The sequence below is a fragment of the Homo sapiens genome, chromosome 2 (genome assembly GCF_000001405.40).
Source record: "Homo sapiens chromosome 2, GRCh38.p14 Primary Assembly".
Classification (NCBI taxonomy): Eukaryota; Metazoa; Chordata; class Mammalia; order Primates; family Hominidae; genus Homo; species Homo sapiens.
Genome location: NC_000002.12, coordinates 197,452,067 through 197,476,161, shown reverse-complemented (window position 1 = coordinate 197,476,161; position 24,095 = coordinate 197,452,067). Strand labels below are relative to the sequence as shown.

The 24,095-nt window shown below is 42.4% G+C and overlaps 1 protein-coding gene and 1 long non-coding RNA gene across 5 annotated transcripts, besides 6 other annotated features; one reads left to right on the top strand and one right to left on the bottom strand.

Moving 5' to 3' along the window:
* Nucleotides 1-851: 851 nt before the first annotated feature.
* COQ10B (coenzyme Q10B) lies at nucleotides 852-22,610 on the bottom strand. Of its 4 annotated transcripts, none has more exons than NM_025147.5 (5): nucleotides 22,498-22,610; nucleotides 16,081-16,230; nucleotides 13,431-13,623; nucleotides 5,991-6,092; nucleotides 852-2,405 (listed from the first exon to the last, which is right to left on the bottom strand). In NM_025147.5, exons 1-5 carry the CDS (start codon nucleotides 22,599-22,601, stop codon nucleotides 2,238-2,240), a joined length of 717 nt encoding a protein of 238 aa, NP_079423.1. In that variant the 5' UTR covers nucleotides 22,602-22,610; the 3' UTR covers nucleotides 852-2,237. The 4 variants fall into 4 exon arrangements, with proteins under 4 accessions (NP_079423.1, NP_001307749.1, NP_001307748.1 ...); NM_001320820.2 differs by lacking the exon at nucleotides 22,498-22,610 and adding an exon at nucleotides 21,916-22,157; NM_001320819.2 differs by lacking the exon at nucleotides 22,498-22,610 and adding an exon at nucleotides 22,113-22,157.
* On the top strand, nucleotides 3,121-11,848 carry LOC124907951 (uncharacterized). The gene is made up of 2 exons (XR_007087903.1): nucleotides 3,121-3,321; nucleotides 11,720-11,848. It is a non-coding gene; the product is annotated as an uncharacterized LOC124907951 (long non-coding RNA).
* Nucleotides 22,088-22,137: an enhancer, noted in NCBI's record as "active region_16938". NCBI's record gives its function as "activates an Ori minimal core promoter by ATAC-STARR-seq in GM12878 lymphoblastoid cells {active_cell/tissue: GM12878}" and the evidence as "EXISTENCE:reporter gene assay evidence [ECO:0000049][PMID:35858748]".
* Nucleotides 22,332-22,948: an enhancer, noted in NCBI's record as "H3K27ac hESC enhancer chr2:198317938-198318554 (GRCh37/hg19 assembly coordinates)". NCBI's record gives its function as "activates a minimal SCP1, AML or CMV promoter by ChIP-STARR-seq in naive H9 embryonic stem cells {active_cell/tissue: H9 hESC(naive)}" and the evidence as "EXISTENCE:reporter gene assay evidence [ECO:0000049][PMID:30033119]".
* Nucleotides 22,338-22,387: an enhancer, noted in NCBI's record as "active region_16937". NCBI's record gives its function as "activates an Ori minimal core promoter by ATAC-STARR-seq in GM12878 lymphoblastoid cells {active_cell/tissue: GM12878}" and the evidence as "EXISTENCE:reporter gene assay evidence [ECO:0000049][PMID:35858748]".
* Nucleotides 22,408-22,887: an enhancer, noted in NCBI's record as "active region_16936". NCBI's record gives its function as "activates an Ori minimal core promoter by ATAC-STARR-seq in GM12878 lymphoblastoid cells {active_cell/tissue: GM12878}" and the evidence as "EXISTENCE:reporter gene assay evidence [ECO:0000049][PMID:35858748]".
* Nucleotides 23,008-23,077: an enhancer, noted in NCBI's record as "active region_16935". NCBI's record gives its function as "activates an Ori minimal core promoter by ATAC-STARR-seq in GM12878 lymphoblastoid cells {active_cell/tissue: GM12878}" and the evidence as "EXISTENCE:reporter gene assay evidence [ECO:0000049][PMID:35858748]".
* Nucleotides 23,158-23,207: an enhancer, noted in NCBI's record as "active region_16934". NCBI's record gives its function as "activates an Ori minimal core promoter by ATAC-STARR-seq in GM12878 lymphoblastoid cells {active_cell/tissue: GM12878}" and the evidence as "EXISTENCE:reporter gene assay evidence [ECO:0000049][PMID:35858748]".

Sequence of the window (24,095 nt, the reverse complement as noted above, 5' to 3'; positions counted from 1 at the left end):
TAGCTGGGACTACAGGCGCACGCCACCACACCCAGCTAATTTTTGTATTTTTAGTAGAGACAGGGTTTCACCATGTTGGCCAGGATGGTCTCAATCTCTTGACCCCGTGATCTGCCTGCCTCAGCCTCCCAAAGTGCTGGGATTGCAGGCATGAGCCAGCGTGCCCAGCCAAAAAAAAAAAAAAAACTTTGTTATTTAAAAAGCTACATTGGTACACTGGCCAGGGACAGTGGCTCACGCCTGTAATGCCAGCACTTAGGAAGGCTGAGGCAGGCAGATCACCTGAGGTTGGGAGTTTGAGGCCAGCCTCATCAACACGGAGAAACCCCGTTTCTACTAAAAATACAAAATTAGCCAGGTGTGGTGGTGCATGCCTGTAATCCCAGCTACTCAGGAGGCTGAGGCAGGAGAATTGCTTGAACGTGGGAGGCAGAGGATGCGGTGAGCTGAGATCGCGTCATTGCACTCCAGCCTGGGCAACAAAAGCGAAACTCCGTCTCAAGAAAAGAAAAAAAAAAAAGGTATATAACTATATACAAACTACTTATGCTCTTGGCAAATACCTCATCTGTAAGTGGAAAGATACTGCTTACCTTGTGTGAGAGCACAACCTGGCTCCTCATGAGTAGAGGCTGATATGAATCCTTCATCACTCTATACCCAGTGTCTGATTGAAAGCAGGTGCTCAAAACAGATTTATTAAACAAATTAATACCCATATATATACTTATGTAGAGAACTAATTACTGAGGTCCCTTGTTGACCTGAGGAAACAAAGTTAATAGCACTATCACTGGAAGTTTAATGCCAGAGGGTTGTTGGTATGTAGTGAAAGGAGGACAGGAGATCAATGACTGGTTAAAAGAAAACTGAATTTTGCTTATATTTGTTAAAGTCTGTTTCTTCATAGAAATAGATATTTTAGATATCTTCATAGATATTTTTAAGACATGAAATGCTGTAACACTTTACTATGTCTATGCAAATACACATTTAAACAATATAGGAAGATTTCAATAACCAAACTAACTGTACAAAAAATAAACAAATTAACTTTATTACATTGCTACTTCAACTTCAGTCCTTACATTGATTTGTTTTTTAAAAAATACCAGTTTGAAACACATTACTGAAAGTGAGTGTACACAATAAATAGAAAATAGGGATGCATAGTGCTGGAGACATTCAACCAACTTATCTTCATCTGTTGCCTACTGTTGTAGACAAAATTTGACACACAATTAGCATTACTGAAAGAGCAGCCAAACTACCTCGGAGAAAGTGGCAAACTACTGGAAAAGTAGCTTAAAGCTCTGGACCACTCACCAAAAAAAAAAAAAAAAAGAAGAAAATACACTGTTTATCTGGGAGCTAGCCTCATTATGGCAATGAATTTATCTACTAGTCATAAGAACAATTTTTAAAATATCAAAAGTCCCAGGGAACCTTCACTAACAGTTTTTGTTTTTGTTTTTGGAGACAGAGTCTCCCTCTGTTGCCCAGGCTGGAGTGCAGCAGGGCGATCTTGGCTAACTGCAACCTCCGCCTCCCGGGTTCAAGCGATTCTTGTGCCTCAGCCTCCCAAGTAACTGGGATTACAGGTGTGTGCCACCACGCCCAGCTAATTTTTGTATTTTTAGTAGAGATGGGGTTTCGCCATGTTGACCAGGCTGGTCTAGAACTCCTGACCTCAACTGATCTGCCCACCTCAGCTTCCCCAAGTGCTGGGATTACAGGTGTGAGCCACTGTGCCCAGCCCAAAGTTTTTACTTTAAATATATGATTACTCAAATATCCTAAGCCATACGGCAGGCCCTATAACAATAAGTTACAAATAGTCTGAATTTAATAACTTAAGTGTGATATGGTTAATATAATACATACTGTGTGAATATCTTAACTAACCTCTTTCAGGTAAGGTGATAATTAAAAGGTTTAAATTTACAGTTTCAACTTCTGCTCAGAAGAATCATGCCAGTATTCTAGCAATGGTGATGACATCCCATTATTGTAATGCAGAACATGATAATGTCCATATTATTTTGAATTATACTTGAAGAAATAATTCTATGTACAAGTGAGTCTATATTCTATGTGCAAATTTTCAATGGTGCAGGTTTATAACCAAAGCTGCGTTTAACAAATGCTTTCTGGCTTCTGAAAACATGTCATGAAAATACTTCCTAAAAGTGAACAAACTAAAGTCAGAAGCAGGTGGCACCAGTTCTTTTTTGCCTTTATGTGTGATGGACTTCATGAAGCATTAACTCCCGAGGTATATTTGTTTCTGGACCATACAGCTTACATGCTCTTCTTTCAAAGGCAGCTACCATCTGCTTCACAACTTCATCAAAAAAGAGTGTGGCAAGCTGGGAATGTAGAAGTGATCGAAATTCAAAAGAAATCTGTAGGAAAATATTGAAAATTATTTTAGAAAAAATTATTTTTTGCTTTTTTTTTTTTTTTGGTTTTCCTGGAGAGGGACTCTCGCTTTGTTGCCCAGGTTGGAGTGCAGTGGCACAATTGCGGCTCACTGCAGCCTCAACCTCCTGGACTCAAGCAATCCTCCCACCTCTGTCTCCCAAGTAGCTGGTACTACAGGCATATGCCACCACATGTGGCTAATTTGTGTGTGTGTGTGTGTATATATATACGTATATATATACGTATATACATATATATACGTGTATATATACATATATATATATGTATATATGTGTATATATATATATATATATATATATATTTTTTTTTTTTTTGTGGGGGGGGGCGTAGAGAAGGGGTTTTGCCATGTTGCCCAGGCTGATCTCAAACTCCTGGGCTAATGCAATTCTGCCCACTTCAGCCTCCCAAAGTGTTGGGATTATGGGCATGAGCCACTGTGCCCAGCCAGAAAGATTTTTTTTAAACTAAATCTCCACTTAGGACAGTGGTGTTCACACTATGAACTGGGTATCTAAGGTAGAATTGTGTGGATGTATGTAGGTGGGATTTTTAGCACCCCCACAAAAGAGGGAATCTTCTTTTACTGCAACAAGCACAATTGCTGGCACAATAAGCTTACATAAAGAAGGCCAATGAAATCTCATTTCAAGGGAAAAAGTCTGTTTCTTAATAAGAGAAGACTGGAAAAAACCTTTGCTGAATACATTAATCACTATGCCTTCTTATTAATGTGTCCCTTTTAGATCCATCCTATCCCACAAAAGGAAATAAGGAAGGAAAGTGATCCTTCTCATAGGTATCACTGAGAAGCACCAGCAGGAAGAGGAGGCTGGAAGTGTGCATGCACATGTGTGCCTAACCCACAGGGCAGATGGTGTAAGTGGTTTAATCTTTCTTTTTTTTTTTTTTTTTTTTTGAGATGGAGCCTTGCTCTGTCGCCCAGGCTGGAAATGGCCCAACCTCGGCTCAAATGCAACCTCTGACTTCTAGGTTCAAGCGATTCTCCTGCCTCAGCCTCCAGAGTAGCTGGGACCACAGGCACCTGCCACCACGTCCAGTTAATTTTTGTATTTTCAGTAGAGACGGGGTTTCACCATGTTGGCCAGGCTGGTCTCAAACTCCTGACCTCAGGTAATCCACCCACCTAGGCCTTGCGAAGTGTTGGGATTACAGGCATGAGCCACTGCGCCCGGCCACGTGGTTCAATCTTAAAGTAGCCAATGATGTGGACAAGCTTGTCCAATCCACCTTATTTTGTAGTTGTTGTTGTTTTGTTTTGTTTTGTTTTAGGCTTTTAACAGCCTGAAGCCATGGGTTTTAGTTTCTGTCTCTAGTGGTTAAGTGGAAAAGAGGGATGAGGAAGAGGCTTTACTGGCCCAACCAGAAACAGAAACTAAGAACCCATGACTGTATTCTCTCCCTTGGATACCCTTTCAGAACTTTATTTATACCCTCTCATTGTTCCATATAGAATTCAAGACAACTGGTTTGAGAACTGTGTTTTAAGGACCAAATATCCTCTAAATATTAAAATGTTTATCTTTCATTACGAAATAATTTCATTTTTGTAAAAAAAAAAAACTACAAAATAATACAAAGAATTCCCATGTACCCATTACCCATATTTCCCTATTTTAATGTCTTCAATAACCATACTGCAATTATCAAAATCAGGAAATTAACAGAGGGAGTTACTACTACTAGATAATAATGCTATTATCTAATTTATATAGACCTTATTCAAATTTTCCCAATTGTCCTTTTTTTTTTTTTTTGAGACAGTGTCTCACTCTGTCACCCAGGTTGGAGTGCAGTGGTACGATCTCAGATCACTGCAACGTCCACTTCCTGGGTTCAAGTGATTCTCCTGGTTCAGCCTTTCAAGTAGCTAGGACTACAGGCATGCACCACCACACCCGGCTAATTTTTGTATTTTTAGTAGAGATGGGGTTTCGCCATGTTGGCCAGGCTGGTCTCAAACTCCTGACCTCAAGTGATCTGCCCGCCTCGGCCTCCCAAATTGCTGGGATTACAGGCGTGAGCCACTGTGCTTGGCCCCAATTGTCCTATTAATGTCTATAATGCTTTAATGAAAATTACTCAAGAGCTGAGAACAGCACACGATAATTTAGTCAAAATTGCCACCATTTCTTAAAATTCAATGCCCAAGTTGCCTGTACAGAGAACAACTCCCATATTACCTGTTGGCAAAGAAAAAGCCACAAATTGCTTTAAGTTTTCTATAACTACGATTATATGAAAAAGAAAGTTACTAGGCTGGGTGCGGTGGCTCACGCCTGTAATCCCAGCACTTTGGGAGGCCAAGGTAGGCAGATCTCCTGAGCCCAGAAGTTCGAGACCAGCCTGGGAAACATGGCAAAACCCCATCCCTACATAGAATACAAAAATAAGCCTGTGTGGTGGTGCATTCCTGTAGTCCCAGCTACTCGGGAGGCTGAGGTGTGAGGATCACTTGAGCCAGGGAAGCAGAGGTTACACTGAGTCAATATCACAGCACTGCACTCCAATCTGGGTGACAAAGTAGCGCCCCATCTCAAAAAAATAAAAAAAGAAAGTTACCAGACTCTAGATGCAAAAAAATGAAAAAAATATATTACCTTATTTCTGCATGTTTTATTTTTAAATTTTTTGAGACAGGGTCTCACTCTGTTGCCCAGGATGGAGTACAGTGATGTGATCATAGTTCACTGCAAGCTCGAACCCTTGGACTCAAGTGATCTGCTCGTCAGCCTTCTCAGCAGCTAGGACTACTGGTGGGCACCACTACACAAGGATAATTTTATTTTTATTTTTATTTGTTTTGAGACAGTTTTGCTCTTGTTGCCCAGGCTGGAGTGCAATGGCACGATCTCGGCTCACTGCAACCTCCGCCTCCCGGGTTCAAGTGATTCTCCTGTCTCAGCCTCCTGAGTAGCTGGGATTACAGGCACATGCCACCACGCCCGGCTAATTTTTGTATTTTTACTAGAGACGGGGTTTCATGATATTGGTCAGGCTGGTCTCGAACTCCTGACCTCAGGTGATCTGCCCGCCTCAGCCTCCCAAAGTGCTAGGGTTATAGGTGTGAGCCACCCCATCCAGCCGATAATTTTATTTTCACTAGAGACAAAGTCTTGCTATGTTCCCCAGGCTGGTCTCAAACTCCTGGCCTCAAGTGATCCACCTGACTCAGCCTCCCAAAGTGCTGGGATTCCAGGCATGGGCTACTGCACCTAGCCTGTTTCTGCATCTTATATGCAATGTGTTCTTTCATTTGGTGTTAATTTAAAACTATTATTAAGTTTAAAACTGTTATTAAGCTGGTTGTAAAGTCATGGCATGTATCTTACAATCTACAGATTTGTAAAAAACAGAATGAAGGAATATTCAAGGTTGCAAGAAATAGAATAAAAAAGAAATGTTCATTAGCATTTATGCAGAAAAAGGTATTCAATATAATTATGGCCTCTGTGTTCTAAAAAATGATTACTTTTTACCAATTTTACCTCATAAGTGGAACAAATCAAGGGCTTTATGAGACTTACTGAAAAATCCAAGGTACAAGTTCTTGGGTAGCCAGGAAGACCTGGGCTAAAACGCCAAATAGTCTCCAAATGATTGAAAAGTCTCCCATCAGTACAAGATGCCTACAACAAAATGAAAAAATAAAACCACAGTTAAATACCTTTGCTACTGGACATAATCTAAGAATCTACTATGACTGAGGCTGATTTCTTTCATAAGTAATAATTTTTATAGGTCAGACCATAGGAGATAAAGATATCTAATTTTTAGCTTGGTACTAGGAAGTAATGTCTTGCCAATATTAGCCTTTTTTTTTTTTCCTGCAGGGATCCCTAAGATTGCCAGGTGTTTTCTCTTCCATTGCTAACACCTGCTTTGCTACTTAGCTTTCCTTCCTCTAGAAGCAAAAGAGGGAGCTTCTTGGAAGCTTATTTCTAGCTCTGCCACATATAAGTGATCGTGAACAAGTTAAATCCCCATACCCTATTTCCTTAATCTGTAAAATAATACCTACTTTATATCATGAGATCACTGAAATGTTAATAAGGTACCTGGTACACATTTATCTCCTACTCAAAGACTGTTCTCTTATTAATCACGTATAGTCTTTCCTTCACTCTTTGCTCCTTATTCCTAGAGGCCTCTATCTAGTTTTCCTAACTGTGTAGTCCTGGCCCTTAGCCCTGATCCATTTCTTTCTGATTTTTTCAATGCACATGTATACTTTATATTCAGTATGCACACAATCACAATACTTAACCATACTATGTGCAGGGCATCTTGGTAGTTCCTATTTTGTATCATAAAAAAAATACTTATTGTGGCTGGATGTGGTGGCTCACACTTGTAATCCCATCACTTTGGGAGGCCAAGGTTGGGGGATCACTTGAGCCCAGGAGTTCGAGGCTGCAGTAAGCTATGATTATGCCACTGCACTCCAGCCTGGGCAACAGAACGAGATTCCCTGTCTCTTCGAAAAAAATTTAAAAATTAGCCAGGTTTAGTGATGCATGCCAGTAGTCCCAAGTACCCAGGAGGCTGAGGTGAGGGGACTGCTTGAGCCCAGGAGACTGAGGCAGCAGTGAGCTATAATTACGCCACTGAACTCCAGCCTGGGTGACAGAGCCAGACACTGTCTGAAAAAATAAAATAAAAATAAAAATAAAAAATAAAAAAATTTATTGAGATCCATGAAAGAGATGCCATCTGCAATCTGAAAATGGTAACCAGAACCATAGTTACTAGTTCATTGTTAGGACTGATTATGCTCGTTATGACCCTGAGAGATGCTCAGCATTTTATTTTTATTTTTATTTTTATTTTTTCCCACCTCAGCCTCCCAAGTAGCTGGGACCACAGGTGTGTGACACTATGCCCAGCTAATTATTTCATTTTTTGTAGAGTTGTGTTCTCCCTAAGTTGCCCAGGCTGGTAATGAACTCCTGGGCTCAAGTGAACCTCCTGCCTTGGCCTCCCAAAGTGCTGGGATTACAGCAGGCGTGAACCACCTCATCCACACAAATAATCTAGAGCATTCCTAAAGTGCACAGGTAATTTCTAAGAGCATCAAGAGTCTATAATAAAATCTTGTTATTTCAGTTGCCCAACTTTAGGATAATACATTCTGCCCTTCTTTACAATCATTTAAGAAGCTTATAGGAAATTTAACATTAAAGGATAAACAGGTTTTGGGAGTATTCACTGTAACATAGCACCTTCCTCTGACTACTTTTTTTTTTTTTTTTTTTTGAGACGGAGTCTCACTCTGTCACCCAGGCTGGAGTGCAGTGGCGCGATCTCGACTCACTGCAAGCTCCGCCTCCTGGATCCACACCATTCTCCTGCCTCAGCCTCTCAAATAGCTGGGACTACAGATGCCCGCCACCATGCTCGGCTAATTTTTTTTCGTATTTTTACTAGATATGGGGTTTCACCATGTTAGCCAGGATGGTCTCGATCTCCTGACCTCCTGATCCCCCCGCCTCGGCCTTCCAAAGTGCTGGGATTACAGGTGTGAGCCACCACACCCGGCCTCCTCTGACTACTTTTATACAAAATCTGGCAGTATTTCACTCACTCCAATTATCTAGCCCAAGGACGCACGGATTTTTACTGTTATGTTTTGACACGAAGAGTTTGCCAAAGACCTCATTTCTAAGAGCAGAGATACTGAATAGTAGAAGCTGTCATAATGATGACCTACTACTGACTGTTCTGAGTGAACTGATTTAGACCATTATATAAACTAATCCATACAAAATGTTTCTATCATGAAGCAGGCAGTAAAAGTCATTGAACTGTTGCCTCTCTGAAAATGTTCAAGGGCTTCTGGCCATTAAAGATTAGTGTAGACTAGAATTACTGACATATTAAGTGACAGGCATGTTTTGGTCAGCTAATAATTCACAGAACTGTCACATGGCTTCTGTTCTTCCCTTATAATAATTTTTACTGTATTGGGTAAAAAATAATAATTTTTACTGTGTTGTCTATTGGGTATTAAAATCCAGAACCTGGCCGGGCATGGTGGCTCATGCCTGTAATCCCAGCACTTTGGGAGGCCAAGGCGGGCGGATCACCTGAGTTCGGGAGTTCGAGACCAGCCTGACCAACAGGGAGAAACCCCGTCTCTACTAAAAATACAAAATTAGCTGGGCGTGGTGGCGCATGCCTTTAATCCCAGCTACACAGGAGGCTGAGGCAGGAGAATCGCTTGAACCTAGGAGGCAGAGGTTGTGCTGAGCTGAGATTGCGCCATTGCACTCCAGCCTGGAAAACAAGAGCGAAACTCCATCTTAATCAATCAATCAAATCCAGAACCCGGGCAACAAGAGTGAAACTCCATCTCAATCAATCAATCAATCAAATCCAGAACCTGGGTAACAAGAGCGAAACTCCATCTAAATAAATAAATAAATAAATAAATAAATAAAATCCAGAACCCAGGCCAGGCATGGTGGCTCATTCCTGTAATCCCAGTGTTTTGGGATGCCGAGGCAGGCAGATCACCTGAGGTCAGGAGTTTGAGACCAGCCTGGCCAACATGGTGAAACCTCGTTTCTACTAAAAATACAAAAATTAGCTCAGTGTGGTGGCACGTGCCTATAATCCCAGCTACTCAGGAGGCTGAGGCAGGAGAATCGCTTGAACCCAGGAGGCAAAGGAAGCGGTGAGCCGTAGATCATGCCATTGCACTCCAGCCTGGGCAACAAGAGTGAAACTTGGTCTCAAAAAAAAAAAAAAAATCTGGAAACTGAACCCAGGAACAACTGAAAGTTGAGCATATATTCTCAAGTATGTCTTTAAAAAACAAACTAGCATTATTATGTGAGGCAACTTATAATGAAAAAATAGGGGGAAGGAGAGTAGGAAAAAAAAAAAGAAAAAATAGTTTTGGAGTCAGACACATGCAAGTGTGAATTTGCCCAAGGTTCTTAATCTCCTTAAGCTTCATAAAATTGAGATAGCTATGATCATCTAATGCAGGTTATTATGAAGATTACTTTTTTTCTAATACAGTTTATCCCTCCCTTAGCAGTGCTGAAAGTTTACTCTAAGATTATTATGAATGTCTCTGAATCTGCAATAATCCAAAAATACAGGTAGTGAAAGCTTCATAAGTAAGGAGGCTTCATGACTCCCATCATTATAGTATTGCTGTTGAGGTTACAGAGATGAAAAAGACAGGGGCTCCTTCCCTCAAGTACCACAGTCTTGTCAAGGAGAAATCCTGTTGAAGAAATATATTACAGAGTGATAAAAGAAAGCATGAATAAAGCACAGGAGAATCACCAAGGTAGTGCTACTTATCAATATGAAAGGAAAGAGAGAAAATGACCCCAGATGGTCAGAATTTGAAGGAATATCAAGAAGGTAAGTGCATTACAGATAGAAGAATAAGCAATATGCAAAGGCACACGGCTGTGGAATAGTGCTGTACTGTGCATTCGTGGAACTTTTAAGACATTCGGTATTAGCTGAACATCAAGTATAGTATTACGTGGGAGGAGGGAGCAGGGAAGTAAATGGGTCAATGTGCAATGATAAAGAGATTTACTTTATCCTGTGTGGTTTTGTTTTTGTTTTGTGTTTGTTTGTTTTGAGACGGAATTTCACTCATTGTCCAGGCTGGAGTGCAATGGCGCGATCTCGGCTCACTGCAACCTCTGCCTCCTGGGTTCAAGTGATTCTTCTGCCTCAGCCTCCCGAGTAGCTGGGATTATAGGCACTCACCACCACGCCTGGCTAAGTTTTGTATTTTTAGTAGAGATGGGGTTTCACCGTGTTGGCCAGGCTGGTCTCAAACTCCTGACTTAAGGTGATGCAGCCATCTCGGCCTCAGCCTCCCAAAGTGCTGGGATTACAGGTGTTAGCCACCACATCCAGCCTGTTTGTTTGTTTTTTAGAGATGGAGTCTTACTTGCTATGTTGCCCAGGCTGGAATGCAGTAGCTATTCACAGGCATGATCACTGTACATTACAACCTCAACCTCCTGGGCTCAAGCGATCCTTCCGCTTCAGCCTCCTGAGTAGCTGGGATTACAGGTGCATGCTACCAAACCTAGCTTATCCTGTAGGTTTTAAGAAGGCAGGGGAGAGAGGCTGGGCCTGGTGGCTTATGGCTGTAATCCCAGCACTTTGGGAGGCCAAGGCAGACAGATCACCTGAGGTCAGGAGTTCAAGACCAGCGTGGCCAATATGGAGAAACCCCGTCTCTACTAAAAATACAAAAAAAATAGCCGAGCGTGGTGGCACATGGCTATAATCCCAGCTACTTGGGAGGCTGAGGCAGGAGAATCACTTGAATCCGGGAGGCAGAGGTTGCAGTGAGCTGTGCTTGTGCTACTGTACTGCAGCCTGGGCAACAGAGCAAGACTCTGTCTCAAAGGAAAAAAAAAAAAAGGCGGCAGGGAACAGAAGAAAGGTAGACAGTGAGGAAAAAATGAGGTTTATTTAGAGTTCTTTTAGTTAGAAGCAGCATAATATATATACTAAGATTTAAGTTCTGGATGGGTGCGGTGGTTCACACCTGTAATCCCAGCACTTTGGGAGGCTGAGGCAGGCAGACCATGAGGTCAGGAGATCGAGACCATCCTGGTTAACACGGTGAAACCCTGTCTCTACTAAAAATATAAAAAATTAGCCAGGCTTGGCGGTGGGAGCCTGTAGCCCCCGCTACTCGGGAGGCTGAGGCAGGAGAATGATGTGAACCCAGGAGGCGGAGCTTGCAGTGAGCCAAGATCACGCCACTGGAAGCGCCACTGCACTCCAGCATGGGCGACAGAGTGAGACTCCATCTCAAAAAAAAAAAAAAAAGATTTAAGTTCTAAGGGACTGAATGGTAAATTGAGCTCAGGAAATAGAAAAAAAAAATTAAGATTATAGAAATATTCACTGGTGTCAGACAGCTGGAGTCTTGGCTCTGTGACCTTGGGCAAGTTTTCTATCTCTTCTAAGCCTTAGTTTCCTCAACTCTAAAATAAATAATAACTCTTGAACCTCAAAGGGCTTTTGTGAAAATTTGAGTAATTCAAGTAAAGCAGTAAAATGGGCTCAGTAAATGTTAGCTATTACGACAGAAAGTAGTTTAAAAACTCTAAAACAATGAGGCAAGCAGGTGAAAGCATTTGTAATAATAGCAAAATCCTAGTCCACAGCATTTTAAGTGGAATTGAAGTTTTAAGGGTAAGAATAGGGCAGATAGGGTCTTAGCTTCACTGGACAGTGACAGTGTTCTCTTTCTTTCTAGCTGCACCAGAAAGAGCACATCTGAGAGCTGCACCCCCTTCAATGCCTAACAAAGAGCTGACTAAGGTATTTGGCTCTGGCCACTTACCAAGAAATTATATCATCATTAAATCCTGTGGGCAAAAAATAACTCAGTTTTAAAAATCTTTGGCCACTCCAAAATGGGAATGCAAAAGAAATATGCATTATCCCATGGAATTCTGCCTTTTTGTTTTTAAGGTCGGTACCCTTTTCTACATGTGTATCCTCCTCTGACAAGCATAAGATGATTAATATAATGTAAGAGCAGTTGGCATTTCAGTACCTGGTACTTGGCAGGATAATCTCAACAATGTTTATACATATATATGTATATATATATATGTGTGTGTGTGTGTATATATATATATACGTATATATATATGTGTGTGTATGTATGTGTGTGTGTGTGTGTGTGTGTGTGTGTGTATATATATATATATATATATATATATATATATTTTTTTTTTTTTTTTTTTTTTTTTTTTTTTGAGACAGAGTTTCATTCTTGTTGCCCAGGCTGGAGTGCACTGGCGCGATCTCAGCTCACTGCAACCTCTGCCTCCTGGGTTCAAGTGAGTCTCCTGCCTCAGCCTCTTGAGTAGCTGAAATTACAGGTACTTGCCACCATATTGGCTAATTTTTTCGTATTTTTAGTAGAGACGGTGTTTCACCATGTTGGCCAGGCTAATCTCAAGCTCCTGACCTCGGGTGACCCACCCACCTTAGTCTCCCAAAGTGCTGGGATTACAGGCGTGAGCCACTTTGCCCCCCAATATTTTTATATTTTTTCTTTTCATTTTTATTTAATTTTTTTTGAGACACTGTCTCACTCTGTTGCCCAGGCTGAAGTGTAGTGGCTTAATCACAGCTCTCTCTAGCCTCAACTTCTTGGGTTCCCATCTCAGCTGCCTGACATGACATATTTATATCTTTTTTTTTTTTTTTTAATTTTGAGACAGAGTCTCACTGTGTTGCCCAGGCTGCAGTGCAGCGGCACTATCTCGGCACACTGCAACCTCTGCCTCCGGGTTCACGTGATTCTCCTGCCTCAGCCACCTGAGTAGCTGGGATTACAGGCAAGCACCACTACGCCCGGCTAATTTTTGTATTTTTAGTAGAGACGGGGTTTCACCATGTTGGTCAGGCTGGTCTTGAACTCCTGACCTCGTAATCCGCTCGCCTTGGCCTCCCAAAGTGCTGGGATTAAAGGCGTGAGCCACAGCGCTATGCCTATATCTTTTCTACCTTTCTTTATCCTCTCACCACTTTAATTTTTTTCCTTCCTTCTTCCCCACCATTCCTTCTTTAACTTAAAAAACTATATATTTAGTAAACAAATTTACTCTTCCCCCAATAATAAAAGTATTTAATTCATATTTTAAAACAGTTGAAAAATTAAATTAAAACATTTCCCACTTGGGTGGCGCAAGTGATCTGTCCTGTGGGTCAGTAGTCCTCAATAGAAGGGAAAAAAAAGGGAAAAGTTTCCCATTCCCATATTATATTCAAATTTCTATTTGGAAAGAATAATGCTAACATTGTATAAAGTAACACAGTTAGGAGATATAATAAATTTTTTACCCTCCTCCTGTTAGGTTAAATAAGTTTTTTTAGGCTATTACATTTTAACTCATTTGACAAAGTTAATATATGGAAGAATATTTAAAAACAACAAAAAACAAAACTGTTACCTTTACTAAATGAGGTTTCACCAAGGTTACTACTGATGTATATCGCTCCAACACAGGTGGAAATCCAATTTCTAATCTTGTTTTACAATATCCAGATCTCTTTGATATAACATCTGATTTTTTGCACCAAGGAACAAAATGCTTGTAATCCTCCACTCCCGATACTACATCATACATTTCCTGCATTGAATATCTTTAAAAAATAAAAATAAAAAAGAGGTGTTAACTCCATCTAGTTATATAATATATGCATACTTTAAAGTGAATATGTATAAAACTTACTGTGTATGATAAATAAATCATTCAGCACATATATTAAACCACATTCTGGAATCAATGACCTCAAAGCAACACAGAAAATAAAAGGTCTCTAAATAAACACATACATGATATGGCAGAGATCACAATTTGGCATCTCACAGGTTGAATCTGACATAAAGAGGTAATTTTTTTTTTTTTTTTTGAGATGGAGTCTCATTCTGTTACCCAGGCTAGAGTGCAGTGGTACGATCTCGGCTCACTGCAACCTCCACCTCCCGGGTTCAAGCGATTCTCCTGCCTCAGTCTCCCGAGTAGCTGGGACTCCAGGCACGTGCCACCACAGTCAGCTAATTTTTTGTACTTTTAATAGAGATGGGGTTTCACTGTGTTAGCCAGAACGGTCTCGATCTCCTGACCTGGTGATCCGCCCACCTCGGCCTCCCAAAGTGCTGGGATTACAGGCATGAGCCACCGCGCCCGGCCTAAAGAGGTAGTTTTTAAATTTTTAGTAGCCAGCATTTAAAAATTGAGAGTATGGCCAGGAGTGGTGGCCTGTAATCCCAGCACTTTGGGAAGCTGAGGTGGGTAGATCACCTGAGGTCAGGAGTTTGAGACCAGCCTGGCCGACATGGTAAAACCCGGTCTCTACTAAAAATACAAAAATTAGCCAGGTGTGGTGGCACACGCTTGTAATCCCAGCTACTCGGGAGGCTGAGACATGAGATTTGCTTGAACCCAAGAGACAGAGGTTGCAGTGAGTGAAGATCATGCCACAGCCTGGGCTATAGAGTGAGACCCTGTACACCTCTCTCTCTCTCTCTCTCTCTCTCTCTCTCTCTCTCTGAGACCCTGTACACCTCTCCCTCTCCCTCCCTCACACACACACACACACACACACACACACACACACAGACTAAATCAGTATTTTTTTAGTTGCCATTTCTCTTTTTAACAGGTAACACCTGTGACAATGATGTCTATCCAAAGATTTGCACTCTTTTTACGTGGTGCTGTTGCTAGGAAGTACCTGCCCATCAGGAGCAACAATTCCCAGTCCTCATTTCCACTGCGTTTAGATGGGGTCACAATTAGCTGTTGCCAGTAATATCTGGGAGGAGGTGTTGTGTGTCACCTCCAGACCAATGTGATCAACATTCTGAAGACTAAGTAATTACAGAGGTCAAAAGTTGGATGTAGCCTGGGTTTCTGAGTCACTACTTGGACTACAGTAGACGGCACACCCATTTGAACTCTACATGAGAAAAAAAAATAAACTCTTGGGTATTATCTATAGGGCTGTTAGCATTACCTTAACTAATACAGAGACTAGCTAGTAATAAAGGTGAACTTAGTGAACAATGCTGTTAAGTCTTTTACTACAGAAAAATAGGGAGAACAAAAGCAAATGAGTAAAATTAACGAAATGCACTTTCACAAAGCTTCATGGCCAGTTAGGAATTAAGAGCCATTTGTAGAAATTCCCCTATGGAGGGATGGTGTATTTCCGGTTTAGCAGAACTGTAGTGTCTTTACCATCTGCTCTATTTACCCCTAGATCAGGGGCCACACCTGGCCCATCGCCTGTTTTTGTAAATAAAGTTTTACTGGAATGTGGCCACACCCGTTTATTTAAATATTATCTATGTCTGCCTTCGGACTACAATGAAGGAGCTGAGCAGTCCCTATGGCCCACAAAACCTAATATAGTTACTATCTGTCCCTTCACAGAAAATGTTTACCAAAGGCTCTAGATGAGGAGCCTTAGTATGTATGTACTTATCTATGTATATCTATACATGAGGAAGCTATGTAAACATATGGCCCAATGTATCAGTAATGTTGCTAATACAGAAAAGAACAATGTACAAAAAATGTAAGTCATAAATAATTTTCTTTACATGTCAAAGATTTAAGTCTATACTAAAGAGTTACCATATAATTATATTCATTCAACAAATATTTATAAAATAGCAATGGCTAGGTCAGGAGCAGTGGCTCATGACTGTAATCCCAGCACTTTGGGAGGCCAAGGCAGGTGGATCATGAGGTCAGGAGGTTGAGACCAGCCTGGCCAACACAGTGAAACCCTGTTTCTACTAAAAATACAAAAATTAGCTAGGCATGGTGGCATGTGCCTGCTACTCGGGAGGCTAAGGCAGGAGAATCTCTTGAATCTGAGAGGCGAAGGTTACAGTGAGCCAAGATTGCGCCACTGCACTCAAGTGTGAGACTCCATCTCAAAAGAAAAAAAAAAAAAAAAGAAAAAGGCCAACCTAGAAAAGAGAGCTTAGTCTGTAAGAAGATAATCCAGAGAGAAAGAGGCACAACACGATACCCCACGGAAAATTGTGAACATGCTCTTTTAGTAGAATTCTTATCATATACGAACCCTAAAATTCTTCTCTCTGAATATTCTTTCCTTTTGTTTATTAATGGTGCAGTGATTTTGAAGAAAGTTCGTGCACATATCTCCTTAGGCAAAATTGAGGTATGTAGTGGAAGAGTTCTGCTCATCAGTATACCACAGGAAGCTAAATATCTGAAAAGACAAAAATCACCTGATTTAGAGTGACAGTAAAAATTAAAAGGAAGCACAAATTATAGAAACTATAAAGTAATTATCCACTTTGTAAGGCTTTGCAACTTCAGAATGTTTCTGAAAAAATACACACACACGGGCACAGAAAAAGCACAGCTTCTTAAACACTGTAAAAAAAAAAAACAAAAATAACAGCTTAGTTAGGTTAGAAGCTTCTGGCATAAAAGGCATCTCTCCCAGAAAGTTGGCTTTCACTCTGTAGTCACATGTTACAACTTACTCTTACCATAAGCTTTGCTAGATACACAAATCTATTTTCTGATTTGTGTTGTCTACCCACGTTGTTTTCCTAGCTGGATCCACAGGTGTTTCTTAATTCTTGATCCACTCCAGTGAGACTTAAAATTAGGTCTCAAATCTCTTGGCAGACATCTGGTAGGACCACCTACCAGATGGTGAGTACTGATGCCAAGCATGGTGGCTCAAACCTGTAATCCCAGTGGTTTGGGAGGCTGATGCATGAGAATCCCTTGAGGCCAGGAGTTTGTGACCAGCCTGGGCAACATAGCGACCCTGTCTCTACAAAAAAATTTAAAAATTAGCCGGCCATGGTGGCATGTGCCTGTAGTTCCCGTTACTCAGGAATCTGAGGCAGCAGGATCGCTTGAATACAGCACTTCGAGGTTGCAATGAGCTATGAACACACCACGGGCACTGCAGCCTGGGTGACAGGGCGAGACTCTATCTCAACAAAAGCAAAAACAAAACAAATAAAAACCAACTGTTGCTGCGTTCTCCTTTACCTTGCAGTCTCCATTTCAATGCATATATGTAAAAACATGTCTAGTTAACCAGAAACTTATTGTTTGAGGTACTTCTATGTACAAATGTCTGCTATATGCTTGTTCACCTAAATATTTTCAACTTTCCTTAATAAGATTATTACATAAGTGACTGGGTGAGGTGGCTCATGCCTGTAATCCCAGCACTTTGGGAGGCCGAGGCGGGTGGATCACGAGGTCAGGAATTCAAGACCAGCCTGACTAACATGGTGAAACCCCATCTCTACTAAAAATGCAAAAAATTAGCTGAGTGTGGTGGCAGGCGCCTGTAGTCCCAGCTACTCAGGAGGCTGAGGCAGGAGAATCACTTGAACCCGGGAGGCGGAGGTTGCAGTAAGCCGAAGTTGTGCAACCACACTCTAGCCTGGGTAACAGAATGAGACTCCGTCTCAAAAAAAAAAAAAAAAGAGAAAAGAAAAAAGATTATTACGTAACTATTTGACTATTTGACACTACTAGTCATTTAGTCATTGCTGGCCAGGATAATTCAATTTAAATTATCCACATATTTACTGAGCTCCTATTCTAAGTTAAGACTGTGCTAAGTACTAAGGATATAATGGTGAATAGAACAAACATAAGCCTTATGAAGATTATATTCTAGTTGAAGATTGATTCAAAAAAGTGCTGAAGAAGAGATGCAGGGAAGAGGGAGGTGTAATTAGGACCTCCTTTAGACAGGGTGACCTAGGAATCCCTTAAAAGATTTTAGCTGAGACATAGTGGACAAGGAGTTAGCCATGCAAAGAGAGAAAAGAAGTGTGTACATATATAATAACTGTGTGTGTGCGTGTGTATGTATATACTAATACACATAGGCATTAGTAGCATTTAATACCTCATTCCATTTATTTATATATATGAATACATATACATATGTACATACATATATATGTAAATGGAGTGGATCGCACCACTGCACTCCAGCCTGGGCGACAGTGATTCTCCGTCTCAAAAGAAGAAAAAAAAAAAAGAAAAAGAAAATATGACCCCAAAGTGTAAAACACAACCCCAATTAGAGAGAGACAAATTTGGGCTCTATAATACAATGAAGAACTTTAGAGCTGTTTATAAAAATTGAACACACTTATTACAGAGAAAATGAAACAGAGGTCAGTGAATTTGCTTAAGGTAAATACTACATGACTATCTGTTAAAATGTAATGGAGGCCGGGTGCGGTGGCTCACGCCTGTAATTTCAGCACTTTGGGAGGCTGAGGTAGGCGGATCAACTGAGGTCAGGAGTTCAAGACCAGCCTGGCCAACATGGCGAAACCCTGCCTTTACTAAAAATACAAAAATTAGCCGGGTGTGGTGGCACGTGCCTGTAATCCCAGCTACTCGGGAGGCTGAGGCAGGGAAAATGCTTGAACCTGGGACGCGGAGGTTGCAGTGAGCCGAGACGGCACCATTGCACTCCAGCCTGGGCAACAGAGCAAGACTCCCCGTCTCAAAAAAAAAAAAAAGTAATTGAAAAGACACATAAACTGTATATGGGTAAACTTATTAGGACCTTTTAAGATTTTAAGATTCCTATATATTCAGCTATAAATAACACTTCATGAATGAAAATATAAAAAAGCAAGATGGCTTTGTGAATTCTAAATTTTCTGGGACATCACAAGTAGTAGTTGATTTTATAATAGTGGTAAGAGCATAATTCTATGTTTCGATACATACAATGCATAGTGATCACATCAGGGTAATTAACACATCCATCATCTCAAACATTCAACATTTATTTGCACTAGGAACATTCAATATACTCTTTCTACCTATTTGAAACTATATATTATTGCTAACTATAGTCATCCTACAGTGGTATAGAAGACGGATCCCCAACGCCCAGGCCATGGACTGGTACCTGTCCGTGGCCTGTTAGGAACCAGGCTGCACAGCAGGAGGTGAGTATTACCGCCTGAGTTCTGCCTCCTGTCAGATCAGCGGTGGCATCAGATTCTCATAGGAGCCAGAACTCTATTGTGAACTGCACATGCGAGGAATCTAGGTTGTTTGCTCCTTATGAGAATCTAACTAATGCCTGATGATCTGAGGTGCAACAGTTTCATCCTGAAGCCATCCCCCACCCCACCACCCCCATTTGTAGAGAAACTGTCTTCCACAAAACTGTTCTCTGGTGCCAAAAAGGTTGGGAAATCGCGGGTACAGACCATTAGAAATGTATTCCTCCTATCTAGCATTAATTTTGTATCCTTCAACAAATCTCTCCCTATCCCTTCCTTTCTCCCAGCTTTCCCAATCTTTAGTATCCTCTGTTCTAAGATCAATTTTTTTTTAATTTATTTTTTACTTATTTATTTTTTTGAGATGGAGTCTTGCTCTATCACCCAGGCTCGAGTGCAGTGGTGTGATCTAGGCTCACTGCAAGCTCTGCCTCCCGGGTTCACGCCATTCTCCTGCCTCAGCCTCCCGAGTAGCTGGGACTACAGGTGCCCGCCACCACGCCCTGCTAATTTTTTTGTATTTTTAGTTGAGATGGGGTTTCACTGTGTTAGCCAGGATGGTCTCGATCTCCTGACCTTGTGATCCGCCCACCTCAGCCTCCCAAAGTGCTGGGATTACAAGCGTGAGCCACTGCGCCCAGCAAGATCAACTTTTTTTTTTTTGAGATGGAGTCTCGCTCTGCCGCCAGGCTGGAGTGCAGCGGTGCTATCTCGGCTCACTGCAACCTCTGCCTTCCAGTTCAAGCGATTCTCCTGCCTCAGCCTCCCGAGTAGCTGGCACTACAGGCGCCCGCCACCACACCCAGGTAATTTTTGTATTTTTAGTAGAGATGGGGGTTTCACCATGTTGGCCAGGATGGTCTTGATCTCTTGACCTTGTGATCCGCCCACCTTGGCCTCCCAAAGTGCTGGGATTACAGGCATAAGCCACCGTGCCTGGCCAAGATCAACTTTTTTTAGCTTCCACATATGAGAGAGGACTCGTCATGTGTAACTTTCTGTTCCTGGCTTATTTCATTTAACATAATGCCCTCCAAGTCCATCCACGTTGCTGCAAATGACAGAATTTCATTCTTTTTTATGGCTGAATAGTATTCCCATCGTGTATTAATATATACACCACATTTTCTTTATCCATTCTTCTGTTTTATTGTTGTTGTTGTGTTTGAGTCAGGGTCTCACTCCATCACCCACGCTGGAGTGCAGTGGTATAGTCATGACACACCGCAGCCTCCACTGCCTGGGCTCAGGTGATTCTCCCACCCCAAGTCCCAATGAGCTGGGACCACAGGCATGCGCCACCAAGCCCTGCCAATTTTTTACTTATTTGTAGAAACAAGGTCTTGCTATGTTGCCCAAGCTGGTCTCAAACTCCTGATTTCAAGTGATCCTCCTGCCTCAGCCTCCCAAAGTGTTGGGATTACAGGTGTGAGTCACTGTGTCCGGCCTTGTTTATTTTTTGAGACAGGGTCTGGTTCTGTTGCCCAGGAATGAGTGCAGTGGCCCAAACAAGGCTCACTGCAGCCTCAACCTCCTGGGTTCAAGTGATCCTCCCATCTCAGCCTCCTGAGCAGCTAGAACCACAAGCTTGCACTAACACATAGCCAGCTAATTTTTCTGTATATGTGTATGTGTATACACACACACACATTTTTTTTTCTTTTTTTTGGTAGAGACAAGGTTTTGCCATGTTGTCCACGCTGGTTTCATGAGCTCAGGCAATCCTCCCGCCTCAGCCTCCCAAAGTGTTGGAATTACAGGCATAAGCCACTGCGCCCAGTACCATTCATCTGTTGTTGGACACCTACGTTGATTCTGTATCTTAACTACTGTGAACAGTGCTGAAACCTTTACTTGAAAAAAGATGAGACCTTTGCTTCTAAAGAGGTGAATTGGGTATCTGGTTGACTTTTTACTATATATAAAGGTTCATGTATTTACTGGGAGGCAATACATGAACCTTTGTACCAGGTTCATGTATTGCCTCCCAGCCTACCCAAAAAAATACCCTTACACAATCTGATTACAAGCCTAAGGAAAACACCAGTGTTTAAAGCAAACTAACAGGACATTTTCTGATCAATCTGCATGCTATAGTTACAGTGGCCTGGACAGCACATCTATTTTCATGCACTGCCAGGAATACTATGTCTTAAACTACGATATGAAGATACACACATTCATATATACAGTTAAACCATGAAATGAATACTGGACAACTGGACCACATGGAGAACAGCTTTTTTGTCACTCGTCTTCCAGTACCACTCTCTCATATACTTAAGTATAATAAAGGTCAGAATCTGATGCTTAACATTGGAAATGAACGCAAACTGCCGCCCTCATTATCATAAACAGTATTTATCTTGGAACTGAAGCCTCAATTTGATCATTAAAGCAACTGTATTTTTCTCAAAAGTAAGTGTTATTTGCAAGACAACATTTTATAAGAGTAATACAAACAGATCTCAAGTATGATGGCGTTATTCTGCTTGAAACTACTTTTTGAGGTTATTTCCTAAAGCAGGAGTAATTTTATGATTTTGTTTGTCTCATCCAACATTTGTCTAAAGGGATTTGGATTTGGTAAGGTTGTTGGTGTTTTTAAAAATTCTTCATTGAATCTTTTTTTAAAAAAATTATTTCCTTGTTTCCAGTAGGGTCGGATCTTCATTTAATCTAAATGTCCTGGGGCTCAACTAGATTTGTGTTTTCTCTCCCCACCTCGTATTTTGTACACCTGAATTCATTTTAAACACACTAACTTTAATTTTCAAGAATATTACAATGTTATTAGTAAAAGGAAACTAAGTCGTACAAGTATGGTATCCGTGTCCCGACCTCCATCTCCACCCCCACCTACCAAAAAATGAACCAACCAGGAAAATCGAAAGCTGACTATGCTTCAAGGTTACAGGACCTGTAAGTTACAGCAGAGTGAAAAAATCCAAGTCCCTTATGCTGGCTGTATTTAGTTTTGTAAACACTAAATGGCGAGGGCAAAGCACTCTTTCAGAAATTGGGAAAACGCATCTGACCATCTGGCAGGTAGAAGGAACCGGAGAAGGGGGCTCACCGCCAAACACAAACTCCCATACAGCCAGCAGCCGGCAACCCTTCTGCGCAAAGTTAAAACTTTCCAACAGCAGTAGCAACAAGCCATAGGGGAGGAGACCGGAAGAGCCCAAAGGCACCAATGGCCAAATTGCTTCCAAAGTCGCTTCGCCGATGATTCACCGCCTCTCACGAGGCAAACGAGCCACGAACACAGCCTTGGGCCCAAGGTGATGCGCGCCGCTCTTGAGTCCCTCAGATGCCAAACGCAAAAAAAAGCCTTCTCCTCTAAAGACACGGAAATGCACCGAGTCCGGCTCTGCCTCACCCCCAAATCCTTCCGGTCCCCCAACTCGGCAGCCAAAATCGAAAACTACTCTCGTCTCAGCGCCCCCGCTGTTGATTACCTGCCATTCCGCACGGGCGCCTGCGCCCCGGCCGCTGTCGCCGACTTCGGACGGCATCCCGAGACTACCCTTCTCAAGGCCGTATGACCAGTCCGAGCTGCCATGATAGACTCTCCGAAGCCGGTCGTCACCTCCCGGACCAGCCCTGCAGCACCGCCCTCCTCTGGTCGGGCCCGGAGCCCGGCTCCGGTCTCTTCCAGCCAATGGACTGGCCGCCTGCGCAGCCTGACACGCCCCTTCTTCCCTTCCGGGTTGCACGTCGCTGACACACGCTGACCGTAAACGTTCCCGTCAGCCTGTCGGCCAATCGGAGCTGCGGGCCCGCCAGGACACACCTCTCTCTCCTGACCGACCAATCGCTTTTCCCGTGCGCTCGCGCAATTTGCGTAATACTCAGTGACTGCTCAGTCCACGCCCCGCGCAGGAGCTGTTCCTGGATTAACCAACTGCCTGGTTCTCCTGGGGTCCGCTTCCGGGAGGCTAGTCAGTGAGCCCCACCCCCCCGGGGGCTGCGGGAAGCCCCAGGGCTTGAGTGTTAATTCTGTAACTGTCCGAACCCGTGAGTGCGGAGCCAGACAGGCCACCACTCCTGGCTGCGAAGCCTGGCTGTCAGCGTCCTGCTTGTTAATGATTGTCTAATACAATGCCTGCCTTGCCTATCTCACGGGGTAATTGTGAGGGCAACATAAGGTCCTGTCATTAGGAAAGACTCAGTTATCCAGCAGCAGTTCCGTCTGCCTTCTTCCTGCGTGTCCCACATTTTAATTGGTGTTCTCGTATGATTTGGGTTTCCCTTATTCCATACTAATCAGACGACTTCGCTTTGATTTACTTGTTTTGGTGATCAGTCATCAAGTCCAGACTTCTTGTTCCCTCAGTTTGTTTTCAGGTCTTTACTTAAGGTTTGTGCACCAATAGTTTTCCTGCAAACTGTAAAGTGAGGATGACAATACTACCTATTTAATATAGTTTGGGTGTAAATGAGATTGTTGATTAAATGTAGTCAGATATTTGTGTGGCACCTACTAGATGCTGGAGAAGTGAGCAAAAGTCTTCACTGTCACAGAGCTTATATCCTAGTGGGGGAAAGAAACCAATTAGTATATAGTGCAATGGCAGCTTGTTATATGTCCCATAGACTAAACAGTACAGCAGGGTAAGGAGATGAAGAGGGAGGAATATGGTAGGGTGCTGTTTTATATAGGGTGGTTAGGAGGGGCTCTAAGAGGATGACACTGAACAAAGGCCTAAAATGAAGTGAGGAAGTGAACTCTGATTACTTGGGAGAAAATGGGCCGGGCGCGGTGGCTCACGCCTGTAATCCCAGCACTTTGGGAGGCCGAGGCGGGCGGATCACGAGGTCAGGAGATCGAGACCATCCTGGCTAACACGGTGAAACCCCGTCTCTACTAAAAATACAAAAAATTAGCCGGGCGAGGTGGCGGGCGCCTGTAGTCCCAGCTACTCAGGAGGCTGAGGCAGGAGAATGGCGTGAACCCCAGGGGGCGGAGCCTGCAGTGAGCCGAGATTGCGCCACTGCACTCCAGCCTGGGCGACAGCGAGACTCCGTCTCAAAAAAAAAAAAAAAAAAAAAAAAA